Source organism: Homo sapiens, chromosome 3 (genome assembly GCF_000001405.40).
Source record: "Homo sapiens chromosome 3, GRCh38.p14 Primary Assembly".
NCBI lineage: Eukaryota > Metazoa > Chordata > Mammalia > Primates > Hominidae > Homo > Homo sapiens.
This window is the reverse complement of record NC_000003.12, coordinates 122,275,696-122,293,285: the sequence shown is the minus strand read 5'-3', so window position 1 is coordinate 122,293,285 and position 17,590 is coordinate 122,275,696. Positions and strand designations below refer to the sequence as shown.

The 17,590-nt window shown below is 43.4% G+C and overlaps 1 protein-coding gene across 6 annotated transcripts in view; it reads right to left on the bottom strand.

The window, feature by feature from the left end:
* The window catches only part of CASR (calcium sensing receptor), a 107,962-nt gene continuing 92,028 nt past the window's right edge, over nt 1,657–17,590 (bottom strand). For 5 of the 6 annotated variants that reach the window (NM_000388.4, XM_006713789.4, XM_047449065.1 and 2 more), the window contains 3 exons: nt 17,244–17,474; nt 11,050–11,173; nt 1,657–9,599 (listed from right to left, as the gene is read on the bottom strand). In NM_000388.4, the coding sequence (NP_000379.3) occupies nt 8,095–9,599; nt 11,050–11,173; nt 17,244–17,474 (1,860 nt within the window). In that variant the 3' untranslated portion in view covers nt 1,657–8,094. Of the gene's footprint in view, nt 9,600–11,049; nt 11,204–17,243; nt 17,475–17,590 lie in introns of all 6 variants that reach the window. The other variant, NM_001178065.2, reaches the window with a different exon arrangement.

Here is a 17,590-nt window from a genome sequence, read left to right as displayed (position 1 = left end):
CTCAACCTCTTGTAAAAAGCATGCAGTTCGCATAGCATGTTCACTTAGCACTCTCCCCCCAGCAACCTCCATCTGGAAACCGTCATTTCTTGTTAACTTATTACTATCAGGTCGGGTTACCATACAACACCAACACACACAAAGACACACATACAAACATATGTGTGTTATTTAAAAAGACAAATAGTACTAATTGGCTTATAATAAAACACACTTGTTGCCACACTCCCCTGTAGCACCCTCCCCTGCAGTGCAAGTTCCCGCTGTCTTTCCATCTCCTCTGCCAGCAGGTTCTCCCTCATAGTAAAATGCCAGGTGTAGTTCAGCCTCCAGCACAGCATCTTGTGGATCTACCACAGCTGTGGAGATAAAAATAAATCATATTTTGCTTATATTTTTCTTAAGAGAGTGTGTTTTTCATGTTGTGTTTGATCTTAAAAATCTTTGTTTTGGGGTGGTAGACACTGCGGACGGGCTTGTTCAGTAGCCACTCTGACCCTCTTCTAGCAGGTCTTCCTCCACTATAGAGGCTGGGAAACAAATGCTACATTTCCAGACTCCTTGACAGCCAGGGCTCTGCATGTGGCTGATATGAGACTTGGAAAGTTGGTGTGAGTGGGGCCAAGCACAGGCAGAGGGATTTGGTTCCTCCAGCTTCAGTGAAGGTTCCAGTGTCCTGTTCTCTGTGTCTTGGTGCTAAGTGGAAGGCAGGGGAGGTTATGAAGCTTTTGCCAGAACACCCTCATAGGGGGATTAGGTATTTCTCCTGGGTGAATTGATCCTGATTGTATAGCAACTAAATTTGGATCACTGAGCCTCCCAAAATGTTATAAGCTTCCTAATACCATATAACAAGTACCTTTCTGCTTGAACTAGTTAGAGTGAATTCTATTGCCTCCAACTAAGAAACCTGACAGAAGAAATCATTGCATTCCATGGTACTTCCTGAGATTTCAAAAGCAAATTCTCTAAGCTTCAGTCACCCATGGTTTTAATAATTATTTATATTTTGCCTATATTCCTGAAGTTCCTTTCAAATCACTTGTTTTATTTGGCAAACAACCATAGTTGGTAATTATGGCAGGTAATAGTCTATCTACTTTTCTTTTTTTGAGACAAAGTCTGGCTCTGTTGCCCAGGCTGGAGTGCAGTGGCTACATCTTGCTTCATTGCAACCTCTGCCTCCTGGACCCAAGGGAGCCTTCCACCTCAGCCTCCCAAGTAGCTGGGATTACAGGTGCATGCCATCATGCCCAGCTAATTTTTTGTATTTTTTGTACAGATGAAGTTTCACCATGTTGCCCAGGCTTGTCTCACACTCCTGACCTCAAATGATCCTCCTGCCTTGGCCTCCTAAAGTGCTGGGATTACAGGCATGAGCTACCATGCCTGGCCTATGTACTTTTCATAGTGGAAAGTGAGACAAAGAAAGCTTAAGTGCCTCATCCAAAGACGTGTAACTTATCTGTCATACTGCCTAGAATCCCCCTCTTTTCCACTATTCTATGTCCTCGGCCCGTTCAGAAATTTAAAAGTCCCATGAAACTCTTGGGAGCTAATTAGAGCTCTGGAAAAATTTGTAGGAGGGGTGACTGACCCAATATGGTGATTCCTATCTAATATGATATGCTTATCTGTTTAAAATTTGGTTGCATGTTTATTTTAAATTCTTTTCTTTATTTTCCTGTTATAATTTTGTGCTTAATATACAAAACTTGGGAAAAATTTAGAAAATCCTAAAGAAGCAGAAACAATTATCCATTAGTCCACTACCAAGCAATCTTCATTTATAATGCTCATCATCACTGGCCATCAGAGAAATGCAAATCAAAACCACAATGAGATACCATCTCACACCAGTTAGAATGGCGATCATTAAAAAGTCAGGAAACAACAGGTGCTGGAGAGGATGTGGAGAAATAGGAACACTTTTACACTGTTGGTGGGACTGTAAACTAGTTCAACCATTGTGGAAGTCAGTGTGGCGATTCCTCAGGGATCTAGAACTAGAAATACCATTTGACCCAGCCATCCCATTACTGGGTATATACCCAAAGGATTAGAAATCATGCTGCTATAAAGACACATGCACACATATGTTTATTGTGGCACTATTCACAATAGCAAAGACTTGGAACCAACCCAAATGTCCAACAACGATAGACTGGATTAAGAAAATGTGGCACATATACACCATGGAATACTATGCAGCCATAAAAAATGAGGAGTTCGTGTCCTTTGTAGGGACATGGATGAAGCTGGAAACCATCATTCTCAGCAAACTAATACAAGGACAAAAAACCAAACACCACGTATTCTCACTCATAGGTGGGAATCGAACAATGAGATCACATGGACACAGGAAGGGGAACATCACACACCAGGGCCTATTGTGGGGTGGGGGGAGGGGGGAGGGATAGCATTAGGAGATATACCTAATGGTAAATGACGAGTTAATGGGTACAGCACACCAACATGGCACATGTATACATATGTAACAAACCTGCACGTTGTGCACATGTACCCTAAAACTTAAAGTATAATAAAAAAAAAAGAATAAAGAAAAATTTGGAGGAGGGGTGACTGACCCAGTATGGTGATTCCTATCTAATATGATATACTTATCTGTTTAAAATTTGGTTGCATGTTTATTTTAAATTCTTTTCTTTATTTTCCTGTTATAATTTTGTGCTTAATGTACAAAACTTGGGAAAAATTTAGAACATCCTAAAGAAGCAGAAACAATTATCCATTAGTCCATTACCAAGCAATCTTCATTTATAATGAGTGTATATTTATAATTTATAAGTTTCTCATTTATAATGAGAGGTCAGATAGAAACAAAACATTTAAAGAAAATCAGGACATTCTGAACAATAACCACATCTTTGGGTTGATATCAACGAAGACAATCACATTCTTCCAAAAACATTTCCTGATGCCTTTACAGGAAATCCTGTAATGACCCCAGGGTTTATTCTTGGGCTTTGATCTCTTACCTATTTTCACCAAACTTGAAAATATTTGCCATCCATGTGCTGAAACTTCAGTCACAGAGTTTGCTGCTTTTATTTGTTCTAACTTCCTGCGCTATCTAGTTACCCAGGTGCCCACATTTTAGAGGCAGGGAGCTGGTGCTGTATCTCTATTATTCCCCCCGCCTCTACCAATAAAATTGTTTTTCTTCTTCTTTTTTTTTTTTTTTGGCAGGGTCTTGCTCTGTCACCCAGGCTGGAGTGCAGTGGTGCAATCACAGCTCAATGCAGCCTTCACCTCCTGGGCTCAAGCAGATCCCCCCACCTCAGCCTCCTGAGTTATCTGCCACTACAGGCGCATGCCACCATGTCCAGCTGTTTTTTTTTTTTATTGTTTGTAGAGATGGGGTTTTGCCATGTTGCCCAGGCTGGTCTTCAACTCTTAGGGCTCAAGTGATCCTCCCACCTCAGCCTCCCAAAGTGCTGGGATTGCAGGCATGAGCCTCTGCATCTGGCCTCAGCTGTTGATTTAAACAGGTACCCCTGCTTGTCTCCACTCCAAGTGTCCTCCACTCTTGTCCAGGGGTCAGGGGAGGGGATGAATGTGGTGGTTATTCCCAACAGAGGAGAAGGTTCCCCTAGCCCCACTCGGTGCTAGAGTCACAGTTGTCCCTCCAGTTCCCAGAGGCACCTTCATGCTGGCTCTGCCCGGCTTCCTGCCCTGTTGGCCTTCACCTAGCAGTTCTCCATTTCTCATACCACTTGCTGAGCTTTTCCTCTCAAGGCTAAGGTTCTTCTTTGGATCCTTGGAATGCACCTTTATTCCTGTGACAGGTTCTACCCTGTGCTTGTTGTTTCCCTGACCCCTGCCTCACTCCTTGCATAATAGCAAAGTCACTCAAAGTTGTCATCCAAGTCTTGATGTTTTTTTTCCATGATCTGGGCCAGGAAAACCAGCATCTCCCAGAGGCTGTGATCTCACTGTGGCAACTTCCTCCCACCTACCCTAATTCCACCCACCTTTGGGAGTATTCTTGTCTCCAGTGGACTCCTAAAATGACCACTCAGGCTCAGACAAATGAGGGCCACCTCCTCCGGTGATTAGCACCCCTTATTGATGTTCCATTATTCTTGTAGCAATAATTATTTCAAATGCAGCAGATGAGCAAAGGGAAGCTCTGGCTGGGCAGAACCAGCCCGTAGCTATGTGATTTCAGCCAGAGCAAAACGACAGACAACATTGCCTTGAAATGTGCCTTTTGGAGACAGAGGTAGGGTAGCCCCAACTTCCCCAAAATCAAAATTAATGCAATTAGACAACGTGTGACGATCATAGGGACTTTCAGGGTATTGATGTTATATGCTGATCGTCACCTCTAAATTTCCAACCTAAATTCTTAAAATCTTCTAGGACACTTTCATTTGAGTGAAAATCTTTTTAACTTTATAATTCATTTTAATTTTCAAAAGAAATGTAAGCAGTTTCCCATTGTTAACAAAACCTAAGAAATATTTTAAAAAGTAATTAAAAGGTGATCATATATTTACCTCCTGACTTCCTTTATTCAAGAGAAAAGCAAACACTAGTTTGTTGAAGCTACCAATTTCAGGTTTCTGCTACTGACAGATAATAGAATGAGACAACACGGCTGTGTATTTTCTATAACCAAAGCCAGCAAAGACTTAGAATATGAGGTTTATACTTTCCCAAGCAGATGTAGAGGAATAGAATATTAGAGGGGAAGGAGTGAGCTAGGTGAAGGGAAGAGGACCACAGTGAGAACAGGAATAGATCTCTGAGACAGGCTCTGGCTGCCAAAACTCAGGGAAGGAGATAACAATACAAATGTATTTGTTTTCTGTTGCTGCTGAAACAAATTACTATAAACTTCATGGCTTAAAACAACACAAATGTATTATCTTACAGATCTGGAGGTCCAAAGTCCTACAAGGGTGTCACTGGGCTAAAATCAAGATGTTGGCAGGGCTGCATTCCTTTCTGGATGTTTTAGGGGAGAATCGGTTTTCTGGCATTTGCCAGCTTCTAGAAGCAGCCTGCCTTCCTCAGCTCATGTCCACTTCCCTACGCAAAGGCAGTACAGGCCAGTGGTGTTTTTCTCATACTGTATTGCTCTCACACTGACTCTTCTGCTTCGTCCACATTTAAGGGCCCTTGGGATTCCACTGGACCCACCTGGATAATTTGGGACGCTCTTCCTATCTCAAGGTCAGCTGATTAGCAATCTTAATTCCACTATACTTTAATTCACCCTTGCCATGTAACAACATAGCCATAGGTTCTAGAGATGAGGATGTGGGCATCTTTGGGTGACCATTATTTGCCCACTACGAAGTCTATTCAGGTTTGGAGACATGTACCCTGTTTCTTCTCTGGTACCCTGGAAGCTTTGTTAGCCTCCATAAGCTCTGTGTACTGTCATGGGGAGACAGCAGTCAAGTAGACATGAAAGTGAGGCTGCCAGTGATTTCTGGGCCTCAGGGATGAGCATGGAGGTAGCTGCAAGAGCTAGCAGGCCCCACAGGGACCGACTGGTTAGGACAGTGAGGCATGCGTGAAAACCACCACGAAACCCATGATGGGACCAGATGAGGATACAATGCCTCAGAGCACGCCAGCGAAGGCCAGATAAGATTGCTTTCAGCAATGTCATGAGGGAGCTGCTGATGACTGAGGAGGCCCACCCCAACATTACAAAAGCCCTCCTGGAAGGGAGAAGGAACAACCTCTGAATTGATCCCCAAACATCTAAATTGGCTCAGAAAACACTGAGGTTACTGTGAAAACCCCGATTCGACTAAGATGAAGTTTCTGTCACTAGGCTGGAGGGGAATTTGAGATAGAAATTAAGTTGTTGTAGAAAAACAATGCAAGTTCATATTTCACACCCCTGATTTTGTGCTGAGTTGTGCCTGCTACGTATAAATTGGGACAGTGTTTCTGTATCTGCCTTTCTGACAACAGCATTGGGAGAGACTCCTTATTTGCAAGCACTTGGTGAAATAAAAGCTCACTGTAAACCTATGTTTTCCTCCTAAAGCCCCTTGGGTGACATGGACATTGAAGTCAAACCCTGGAGGGAGAAGTATGTCACATTCTGTTGAGGCTGTTCCCTCATAGTTATTTTGAAACCATCACATTTTCAGCATTTCTTTTAAGACCAAGTAAAATGTTAAATATAAATCCCCACTCAGCTCGGTGCCTTGCTCAGAGGCATGACTGCAGGGGGGCGCAGGCTGGGTGGGGGCCGGTGCCCTTCCTAGGTGGGGAGCAGGCACCTCACTTGGGTCATCCTGAGTCACCACCTTCTGCTCACAGTCGCGCTCCCACATGGTGCCCTCTAATGATTTCTCATTATAATCTTAACAACTATCAAGTCCACCAATTTGCCCTACAAATCACTGAAAGGCGCCCCTTTGGAAGAAAGTGGTCAGGGGAAGAAGTCACCAAGAGCTGTAAAATTTGAGGCTTCAGGAGATTTAATTGCAATGGTTTGGCCTCAGCTTAGAACCTCCTGCTAGACTGGTGATGGTCTTCCCTGGATGCTGGAGGTCCAGGCCCTGACACTGCGGAGACAGGGCATTGGGCCACCTGAGGGGCTGACCAGCTTTCTGGCTTCCTCACCATGAGCCAGTGATACTATGGCTGACCCCATGTGTTGGGCCCAGAGCTCTTGGGCTTATTACAGAGAGAGTGATTGTGATCAGTGGGCTAGGCAGTACAATCTGAATGGTTAATATGTATGTTTTGTTTTGTATTTGAAGTAAGGGAAAAAATAATTATTACAGTATCAGTAATAATATTAACTAATATTTATTGAATGCTTATTGTGTGCTAGGTACCAGGCTAAAGTACTTTATATACATTATCTCGTTTAATCCACATAAGAGCTCTGAGGGGAAAGAATGATTATTATCCTTATTTTAAAGATGAAGAAGCTGTGGCTTAGAGAGGTTAAGGTTCCCTGCCTACAGTCACTCAGCTTGCAAATGACGAAGCCATGGCTTGAACCCCGGTCTGTCTCTCTGGCTCCAGAGCCTGGGTGACCGGCAGTATTAATACCACTGCTGGAGGGAACATAGCTCTGACATTTGAGGGTGGATCTTTCTTGGAACCACGCTTTCCTACCCTAGCAGCTATTAGCAGGCCAATAATTGAGAACTTACTCTGTACAGGGATAGGGTGGATCTGGCTTCAGGAATTCTTTGGGGTAGAGATGGGAGGGACTTCTGGACCCTTGAGTCCCTGAAGGGGCTCACATAAGGCTTAGCTTATGGGAGTGAGGATAGTGGGGTGGGGAAATAGAGCTCAATAATACTGCCTTATATAAACCAGACTGACATTTTTCAGTTTATATTGTCCATGGACTATTACAACAGAAGCATTTTCCTAAGGATAAAGCTACATATAGGAATATTAATTACAGATACAGCTCATTGGTTTATGCAGTCCCTTCCTAACAATTTGAGGTGATTCTTGTGATCCTGGAATCTAAACATGGCATCAGTATCATGTCCTGGACAGAAGCAGACATATGGTATAGGAGGGGTGCAAACCTTCTGGATGTTACATAATAGCAGCAGCAGGTAGGAGACAAAATATCATATGGTTTTCATAAATAGGAGGAGATACATTCTCCTTATGTTGTGAACATTTAAAATTCAGTCTGTTGTCAAGGCATTGGGCAGGACTGGTGACATTCTGTCTTTCAGACTCTCAGCTCTAGTGGTGGCAAATTTGATGTCCCATCAGTCTGCACACTCTGGAGGGTAGTTTAAAGCCATAGTTTCATCTCTGAGCTGTTGGGTGGGATAGAACAGAGGAAGAGACATTAGATGTGGGTGAACAGCAAATCTGACCGTGGAGATCTCAATGCTTTGACAAATGCAACCACAGAAACACAAGGCTCTTCTTTTTTTTAATTTTAAAGGGAACATGGGTCAATTCACTGTCATTTAAGATGGTGTGACTAAATTCGGGGCATTTGATGTGTCTATTATCCCTTCTTCCTCAGAGGAAAGGAGTCTGGGGCGATTCCTCTTCCCTGGGACCCCAAGAAACCTCTCTGCATTCTCCCTAGCCCAGTCTTCTCCTTCCATTTTATGAATTCACTACGTTTTCTGTAACAGTGCTGCCTCCACCACTGATGACAAAGCTCTGTGAACTGGACACTACAAGTGCTGGGGACAACTCTTCAGGGTCCTCCACCTCTGGCCGCTGGTCTCCACCCACAGGTCCTTGCAGACCTGTTTCCTGGACGGTCAGATCTAAGTCCGTTTCCCCGCACTGCAGCGGGAGTAATGGCTCGTGTCGGGTCAGCGTATCGCTGCTTTTCTGGGCCTCCAGGGAGTTCTGGTGCGTAGAATTCCTGTGGGCCATGGCGTTCTTCTGAGGCTCATCAAAGCTCAGTGAGAAGGTGACCGTGCCGCTGCCAAAGATGACCTTCTGCTTGCATCTGGGCTGCTGCTGAGATCGTTGCTGCTGTGGGAGGGTCAGGGGCTGCTGCTGCTGCTCTTGCTGGGTTAGGGCCAGCGGCTGCTGCTGCTTCTGCCTCTCGGGCTGTGGGAATGGGTCTTCGCTGTTGCTCTTGCTGCTGATGGAGGAGGAGGGGGTGGATCCCGTGGAGCCTCCAAGGCTGCTGGACCGCTTGCGGGAGACGTTGCTGCGGCGCAGCGTGGCCCGGGCAGCCACCTTGAAAGCGTGAGCTGCGGTGCTGCAACGCACCTCCTCGATGGTGTTGCGGGATGGCTTGAAGAGAATGATGTAGATCTTGTTGAAGAAGATGCACGCCAGCAAGCCAAAGCTGGCTGCCAGGATGGCAATCACCTCTACGGCAGAGACAAACTTGCCATAGGTGCTGGCATAGGCTGGAATGAAGGAGATCCAGACGATGAAGAAGATGAGCATGCTGAAGGTGATGAACTTGGCTTCATTGAAGTTCTCCGGCAGCTTCCGGGACTTGAAGGCAAAGAAGAAGCAGATGGCAGCCAGCAGGCAGGTGTAGCCGATCAGGAAGCCCAGGGCCATGAGGGAGCCCTCGTGGCACGTGATGAAGATGATCTCATCCTCCAGCTCCTGGTTGCGGTAGCTTGACGGGGGCGCGGTGTAGAGCCAGATCACACAGATGACAATCTGCATGAAGGTGCAGAGGAAAACCAGCAGGAACTGCAGGTTGAGCCCCCACCACTTGCGGTGGAAGCTGGTGGGGATCTTGGCCTCAAACACCAGGAGGACACGGTTGGTTTTCACCAGGATGCATGAGATGCAGAGCACGAAGCTGATGCCAAAGGCCGGCTGGCGCAGGCGGCACGTCCAGTCCTGGGGCTCCCCGATGAAGAACAGGGAGCTGGAGAAGCAGCAGAGCAGGGAGAAGAGGAGGAGGTAGGAGAGCTCTCGGTTGGTGGCCTTGACAATGGGTGTGTTGCGGAACTTGATAAACACACCCAGCACAAAGGCTGTCAGGAAAATGCCCAGCACGGCAAAGAGGGTGAGTGCGATCCCAAAGGGCTCCGTCCACGACAGAAACTCGATCTCCTTGGCAATGCAGGAGGTGTGGTTCTCATTGGACCAGAAGTCATCTGGGCACTTGTTACAGGCACTGGCATCTGTAAAATGTCCCAGTGAAGAGTGAGTTATTGTGTGGCACAGACTAAAATGTGTGAGTGTACATGTGGTGGTGGGAATACATAGTTTTTTGGATGTGGTCACTACATATTTTCTCCATTTTGATGAAATCATTCTGATTTTTACATTATCAAAAATATGCTGAACCCCGACATGTTTAATAACATGGTTAATTTCATGTAACTCTGATGGTTCTATTGTTAGTTTGTTTTCCCTTTGCACATGACATGGGTGAGGCCCTTGTTTCACTTAACACTATCTTCTGATGGCAGGGAATGATCAACCTTGCTGGACAGGTGGCTGCCCTGCACACCAGAGGTCTAGCATGGTCCATCAACTCTTCGCAGAATGATTCAAGCTTAGCCTGATTTATTTATTTAAATATTATTGGGTAATATTTGAGGTTTACAACATAATGTTGTGGGATACATATGGGCAGTAAACTGGCTACTCTAGTGAGGCAAATGAACATATCTGACATCTCACATGGAGAGTGATTTATTTTGGATATATGGATGGGCTTTGTAGACATGCCAGAGCAGACTTCCTTTTAGATCAAGGCAGAGTATCCCATGCACATGACCTGTGCTTTCCTCACTCCACATCCACAGCTTTTTGATGAGGGAGGCTGCAGACTCATTCAACTGACAACTGTTTACTAAGTCTCTGCTAACTCCCAGGCAGTATGCAGTTTTGGGCAGTGAAGGGAGCATGGGTTTTGGAGTTAGAGATCTGGATGGAATCCTGGCCATACAACTTACTAGTGATGTGACTTTGATCAAGCTTCTTAACCTCTCAGAGCCTCAGTTTCCTAATTTATAAAATGGGAGCAGCAATAACCCCATCACTGGGGTGAGGATAACATGAGATAATATCAACTATAGTTAATATTTATAGAGTACTTCTAATATGCCAAAGTTTTATTTAACAAATATTTATCTAGAACTTACCATGTGCATTACCAATATTAATCATCTAATTCTCAAAATTCTATAGGATAGGTTTAATTATTATTCCCACCTAAAAATAACCTGAGAAACAGGAAAAACACAAGTAAGATAGCAAATTCAGTGCCAGGCACCCAGCAGGCAATTCTATGATGGCCTATTAACTCTGGAGTCTGGAGCAGACATAACTGTGTCCATGCAGGGCCACTAAACTCTAACAAAAAGGAAATATATTGGCCGACAATATGAAGTAAGAGAAAGATGTGTAATAGGTATTGTTATCTTTTATGGTATTAAAAGAACATCTAACATTCTTTTTCTGTTCCACCTCCATGCCCAACATTTTGTGATGCTCAGATATACCTTTGTTAAATGAGAAACTGTGCAAAGCACCATCTCAGCCCAGCCCTTCCATGGGCTTCACTGACCCCAGGCCTCCGAAGTGGACCAAGCCCTGCACAGTGCCCAAGAGGGGTTCCCTTACCTGTCTCATCACTATACTCCCCATCAGGACACTCCACACACTCAAAGCAGCAGGTGGGCTCCCCCTCAATGATCCCTTTCCTGGTCCCTGCCAGGCAGTCTCGGCTGCAGTTGGAGAAGGGCACCTGGAGGACAGACAGCACAAAGGTGAGTGGCTGTAGTTGTAGGGTCAGGGGCCAGCCCTACTGTCTCTTCAAAACATGTAAGAGGGAGGAGTTTGGGCACAAGAATCAGTGTGACAGACGTTGGGCCCATTCCAGGCAAAGGGAGGTCCAGAGGTCCTTGGTTCTGATATCTGTGAAAGGGACAGATGACTATGGGAAAGTGTGTGTGTATACATGCACACACACACACACATGTGCATGCACACATACACAGACACACACCCTTGGGATTCTATGATGATCTGGGAAAAGCGCCACTACTTTCTACTACTTGAAAACAGATGAAAAATACTAAAACACTAGACAACAGACTCAAAGGACATAAGAAAGAAAATGCATCATGACCATGGTGGGTTTATGCTCAGGAGTGCAAAAAAGTCTAATATTAGACAAATCTATAAGTATTATTCACTGCATTAGCAAATTAATGGAGAAAAAAAATCATATGATCACCAACAGATAAATAAAAAGCATTTGATGAAATCCAACACAAACTATTGATAAAAGCTTAGTAAAAAAGGAGTGGGAAGAAATATCTTTAACTTGAAAAAGGGTAACAAAAAACCTCTTAGAGTAAACATCATTCATATAGAGAAAACATTAAAAGTATTTCCATTTAAAACAAGGATATCCACTATCACCACTACTCTTTAACTTTGCACTGGAGGTCTTAGCTAGTGGAATCAGACAAGAAAAATAAGTGCATACATTTTGAAAAGGACCAAATAAAACTGTAGTTATTTGCAGATGATATGGTTGCCATAAAGAAAACCCAAAAGAACAACCGAATTATTAGAAACAACTGAAGAGCAGGCCCAGGCTAAAATGCCATAGACTACCAGTGTTCTTACCAGAATTTCATTAGTTTTTGTTAAAAACAAAACAAAACAAAACAAATAAACAAAACCCTTCACCTTTTGTTGTGTGCTTCTGGTTAACTTCCAGGTTCTTCAGTGGTTTTTGTCCAGTTTTGTTCAATTTTATCATTGCTTCACCATTTCAAGAAGTCCTGCTTCTATCTCATTCTTTGCACCAGCTAATTGATTATTCATTCTAGGAATTTATTAGTCATTTACTATCTAACAATGTATATGTTTCAAAGACAAGAAATGTATCATAAGAATGAAGTCCGTTTTGCAACAGCATATGTATCTTAGAGGTAGAGAGCACTTCTCACTCATCTTTGTAACCCCAGGTACAAAGCCTGGAGTAATGCTTAATACATAGTAGGGCTTTTACTATTTCCATAATGTCTATTTAATGGGTCTCCCCTCTACCTACTACTTTGTAAGATGTCTTACAAACACAGAAAGCAGTAAAGTAGCTGTCGTTGTTTCTAGCAGAAATGACTGGCTTGACAAAGGAGTTAAAAAAAACTTGAACAGAAGATGATTGACATTATCTTCTAATGAATGAGGAATGGAAAGGCAGTAATGGACCTGATGATTGCCAAGACTCTCATGACCCAGGGAAGGGAAGGGGAGGGGAGGGAAAAGGACAACTCACATCATCATCTTCAACTATGGTGACAAGGTATCCTCAGAGATGTGCTCTCAGTCCTTGAGTTGCCAACCCATTTGATCACTCAATGAAAGCTAAAGGCCCTGTTTTCCAAACCCACACTAGGAATGCTTCTAAATTTTCCCCATTAAAGAATGATGGTTGCTTCCTCTCTTCCTATTTGAATACCCTTTATTTCTTTCTCTTGCCTGATTGCCCTGGCCAGAACTTCCAATATTATGTTGAATAAGAGTGGTGAGAGCGGGCATCCTTGTGCCAGTTTTCAAGGGGAATGCGTCCAGCTTTTGCCTTTTCAGTATGATATTGGCTGTGGGTTTGTCATAAATGGCTTTTATTATTTCGAGGTATGTTCCTTCAACACCTAGTTTATTTAGAGTTTTTAACATGAAGGGATGTTGAATTTTATCGAAGGCCTTTTCTGTGTCTATTGAGATAGTCATGTGGTTTTTGTTTTTAGTTCTGTTTATGTGATGAATTACGTTTTGCAGGAACAGAAAACCAAACACCCCATGTTCCCACTTATAAGTGGGAGCTGAACAATGGGAACACATGGACACAGGGTGGAGAACAACACTGGGGCCTGTTGGGAAAGGGTAGTGGGGTGGAGAGCATTAGGGAAAAGAGCTAGTGCATGCTGGGTTTAATACCCAGGTGATGGGTTGACAGGTGCAGCAAACTACCATGGCACACATTTACCTATGTAATAAACCTGCACATCCTGCACATGTACCCCAGAACTTAAAAGAAATACAATGAAAAAAGAATGATGGTTGCTGTATCCTTTATCAAGGTAAAGTGAGGTTCCCTTCTATTCCTAGATTAATGAAATTTTTGTTTTTAACCTGAGAGGTTAAAACCTGAGAGGTTAAAAATTTTTGTTTTTAACCTGAGAGGTGTTAAATGTTAATAGATACTTTTTCTGTGTCTACTGACATTGCAGAACTTTTATCTTTTATTCTGCTAATGTAATAAGCTACATTTATGAACTTTGTAAAGTTTGGCTATCATTACGTTCCTGTACATTCACCACTAACTCTACTAGCAGATGATGTTTATTTTATACATTGCTGGTCTGTTTGGTGATATTTTATTTAGGATTTGAGCATCTACGTATACAAACAATATTGTCCTATAATTGTCTTTGCTTGTATTGTTCTATCTGTTTTTGGTATCAAGATTATATTATCATCACAAAATAAATTTAGTAGCTTTCCTTCTTGGTTTCTGCTAGGCTGTGAGTGCCAAAAATCTCAAAATAATAACTCCCAACAAGACTGAACTGTATTTCTCTCTCATATAAATGTCTAGGGATGTGGTCTAGAGTGATATAGCACTCCATAATGTTGGACACCTAGACTCTTTCTACCTGGTGGTTCTGACATGTTTGTCTTTGCCTCATAGTCCTTGATAGTGGCATTTGGTTTCCAGGAGGCAAGATAGAGGAAGGGATGAAGAAGAGAGCAAAGGATACTTGCAAGCACTTTCTTAAAGAAGGTTCCCAGAAGCCATCCCACAACACTGCCACTTACATCCCATTCTCTAGGATTTAGTCATGGGGACGCACTTAGTAGAAATGAAGGCTGAAAAATGTCATCTTGAATCTGGGTAGTCATGTGTCTAGCTAAAATAGAGTTCTATTTTTAAAGAAAAAGAGGAGTATAAATAACGAGGGCCTATAGGAATGTCTGCCTTGCCTCTTTTTCTCTTCTTCTTAATGGTTAAGGAACAGGCTGAAGGTCACACAATGGCTTGACTGGAGAGCTGAGATTCGCGCTCAGGTCAGTCTTCAAAGTCTGTACTTTTCACTACACCAAACTCTGCTTTATACCAGTCAAGGCTTAGAAGAATGTCTCCATCTGGGTCTGCTTACTGCATCCTTCAGCAACCATGAGCTAAAGAGAAATCCTATCACCACAGGAGTGGGCTGAGGTAGCCACCGGAAAGATCCATTTTTCCAAAAAGCAGTCAAGTATCTCCAAGCCTCCTCAACAGTCTTATTAAAGATGCCTGTCCAATTCTGGCCAAGGAAGCTCATCTGAATTCCAAGACCCTAATTAAGGTGTCTCTTTTACTTCTTATTTGTTGTAGCAAAACAAGGAAAGAATTATTGGCAGCACAGTGTAGGGAATGGAGCACTGAGGTCTAAGTTAGGGCCCTTGGGGTCTAGTCTCAGCTTTTATACTGACCATCTGTTTGGCCTGAGAAGTCACCTTTGCATCCTAAAACCTCAGTGTCATCAACTTCAAATTGGAAGCTTGGATACAAGGATCTTTAAAGATCTATCTAGCTCTAAATTTAGTGCTACATTTGTAAGAAAATTGAGAACATCAGTTAAGTATAATGCCATATTAATACTTTGCATTTATATATTAGTAGTATGATTCAGTTTATCATACGCTTTTCATCCTTGATCTCATTTGATCTCAATAACAACTTTGTGAAATACATAGGGAAGTTACTAATATATAATTTATAGTTAAATATAGGTGGTATTTTTGTGGTCATTTCCACAACAGCACAGAAAATAATAGAGTAGATCCTAAGATTTGTTGAGTATCCATTGTGTGCTACGTTTGAGGTAATATTTCTATGGAAAAAAATTAGATTTAACTTATAACTGTGTCAACTATTCCAAGAACATAAGTGACTGAATTAATGAGAATTCCCTGTGTTATTCATCTATCAATGTTTAAGCCCATGATGTACATAGCCTGGGAGAGGACAGTTAGGGCTATGGAGAACTGTACAGGAGATAGCTCCCTGCTGCAGTGGAGAGACATGTGCCATTAGAGAATTCAATTCTATGCATTAATGGGGGTGAAAGATAAACTGGATGATCCAACAGGGGTAAACAGGTGGCAGTATAGCTGATCAATTTAGACTCCAGTCAGTGAAAATACGTGATAAATTAGACAAAGGTATAATTAGTGGACAGAGGAATATAACATCTGGAACCCCCAAATCTCCATCTGGAAAAGTCATGACATATTTATAATTAAGAACCCACCCTCTGGGGTGTAAGCTATTAAAAACGGCACACTGTGGATGAGATTCACTGTCTATGGGAGACCTTCCCAGTGGTAATCCATCTACATACTGGGTAACAGTGAAGTTGTAGCATCTCATCAGGAACCTGTCAACCTAAGAAGCATTTGATAAGAAGACGAAGCGAGTCTTTGGTTATGTTATAAAAAGTGGTCCAAGATGGCTGGGCATGGTGGCTCACGTCTGTCATCTGAGCACTCTGGGAGGCTGAGGAGGGTGGATCACCTGAGGTCAGGAGTTCGTGACCAGCCTGGCCAACATGGTGAAACCCCGTCTCTACTAAAAATACAACAATTAGCTGGGTGTGGTGGTGCGCCTGTAATTCCAGCTACTTGGGAGGGTGAGGTGGGAGAATTGCTTGAACCTGGGAGGCAGAGGCTTCAGCGAGCCGAGATTGTGCCACTGCACTCCAGCCTAGGCAACAGAGCCAGACCCCATCTCAAAAAAAAAAAAAAAAAAGAAAAGTGGTCCAAGATGCTCAAAGGTGATAATAAAAAAGGCAAATGCAAATAGAAATGTGGTGGGTCTTATCCAGGCTTCCTGGGAGAGTTAAGAGGATGCCCTGTCTAGGATCTGTGTTCTTACAGAGGACCTGGATTCTTAGCAGCCTGCTATATTCTAGGACACAAACATCATAGAATGGTCATCATTCCAGTGTATCACGTTTCTCTTCCTCAAGTGCAAATTGACTGAGGGGTGGGCTTCTGGTTATTAACAGGCTTCTAGCTGCAGTGATACTCAGACACACAAGCATCCTCCTCTTTGTTACAGGTCTCCTGGAGGAGGAGAATAAATTGTTCTTTTGATTTACAGTTCAGCAGCCCGGGCTGTCACACTACCTCTGTGTGAACTGTCCAGGCTGTGAGGGTGGTGACAACACCAAATGACTCAGGTGAAAACATCCAGCTCCATTTTGGGCTCCAGTGTCTTTCAATGGCTGTTACTGGCCATTGAGGCGGGATCAATTCTTTGTCATGTAAGCTTGTCCCACACATGCTGGACACTTAGTATCCCTGGATCCCAAGTGCTGAAGGCCATTAATACTTCCTGGTCATTGTGACAACCCAAAAGCAGTCCCCTCCACTCTAAAACTTGTCTCCCCTGCCCTTGGCCGAGCTGAGAGCCACTGACTTGACCGATGTTTACATTTGCTTAAATATTTTGCTCTGGTTAGGGAAAGTTTTAGCCAAGGAAACTTTGTGACTAGCTAGGGAGTCATATTTGTGAAAAATGAAACTGTTTCAATACAGTAGGAAGGCATGGGGCTCAGGTTCTGGAGATTCTTCTCTTTACACTAAACACTGTGGATTTCACAGGGAGCCCCAAGATTGCAAAGGCCAGAGAGTTCAGGGAAGTGGACTCTTTATTTTGGAAGTCCAGTGGGGAAACCAAAGGCCCTCCCAAAGCCCAGCACAGTTTCCTGCCCCTGGTGGAGACATCTGGTTTTCTGATGGACAGCACCTACCTCCCTGGAGAACCCACTCCACAGGATTTTCTCCTCGTTGATGAAGAGTCTTTCTCCCTTCTTGGCATAGACGTTGTAATACCCGACTTCCTTAAACACGATGGAGCCATCCTCTGGGGAGAGGTGCCAGTTGATGATGGAATAGTTCCCCACCAGGTCACCACACTCATCAAAGGTCACCTGCTCCCCCATATTGTTTGTAAAGTTTAGATGCCGTAGGTGCTTCAGGACCTAAAGAGGAGCAAAGAATGAGTACAAGCCCCAGGGCTGCCACATAGAACTAATTAGGTAGGCTGTGCCCTGCACAACAACGGTAGACTATCTTGTTCCAACAAAGTGGGAGGAAC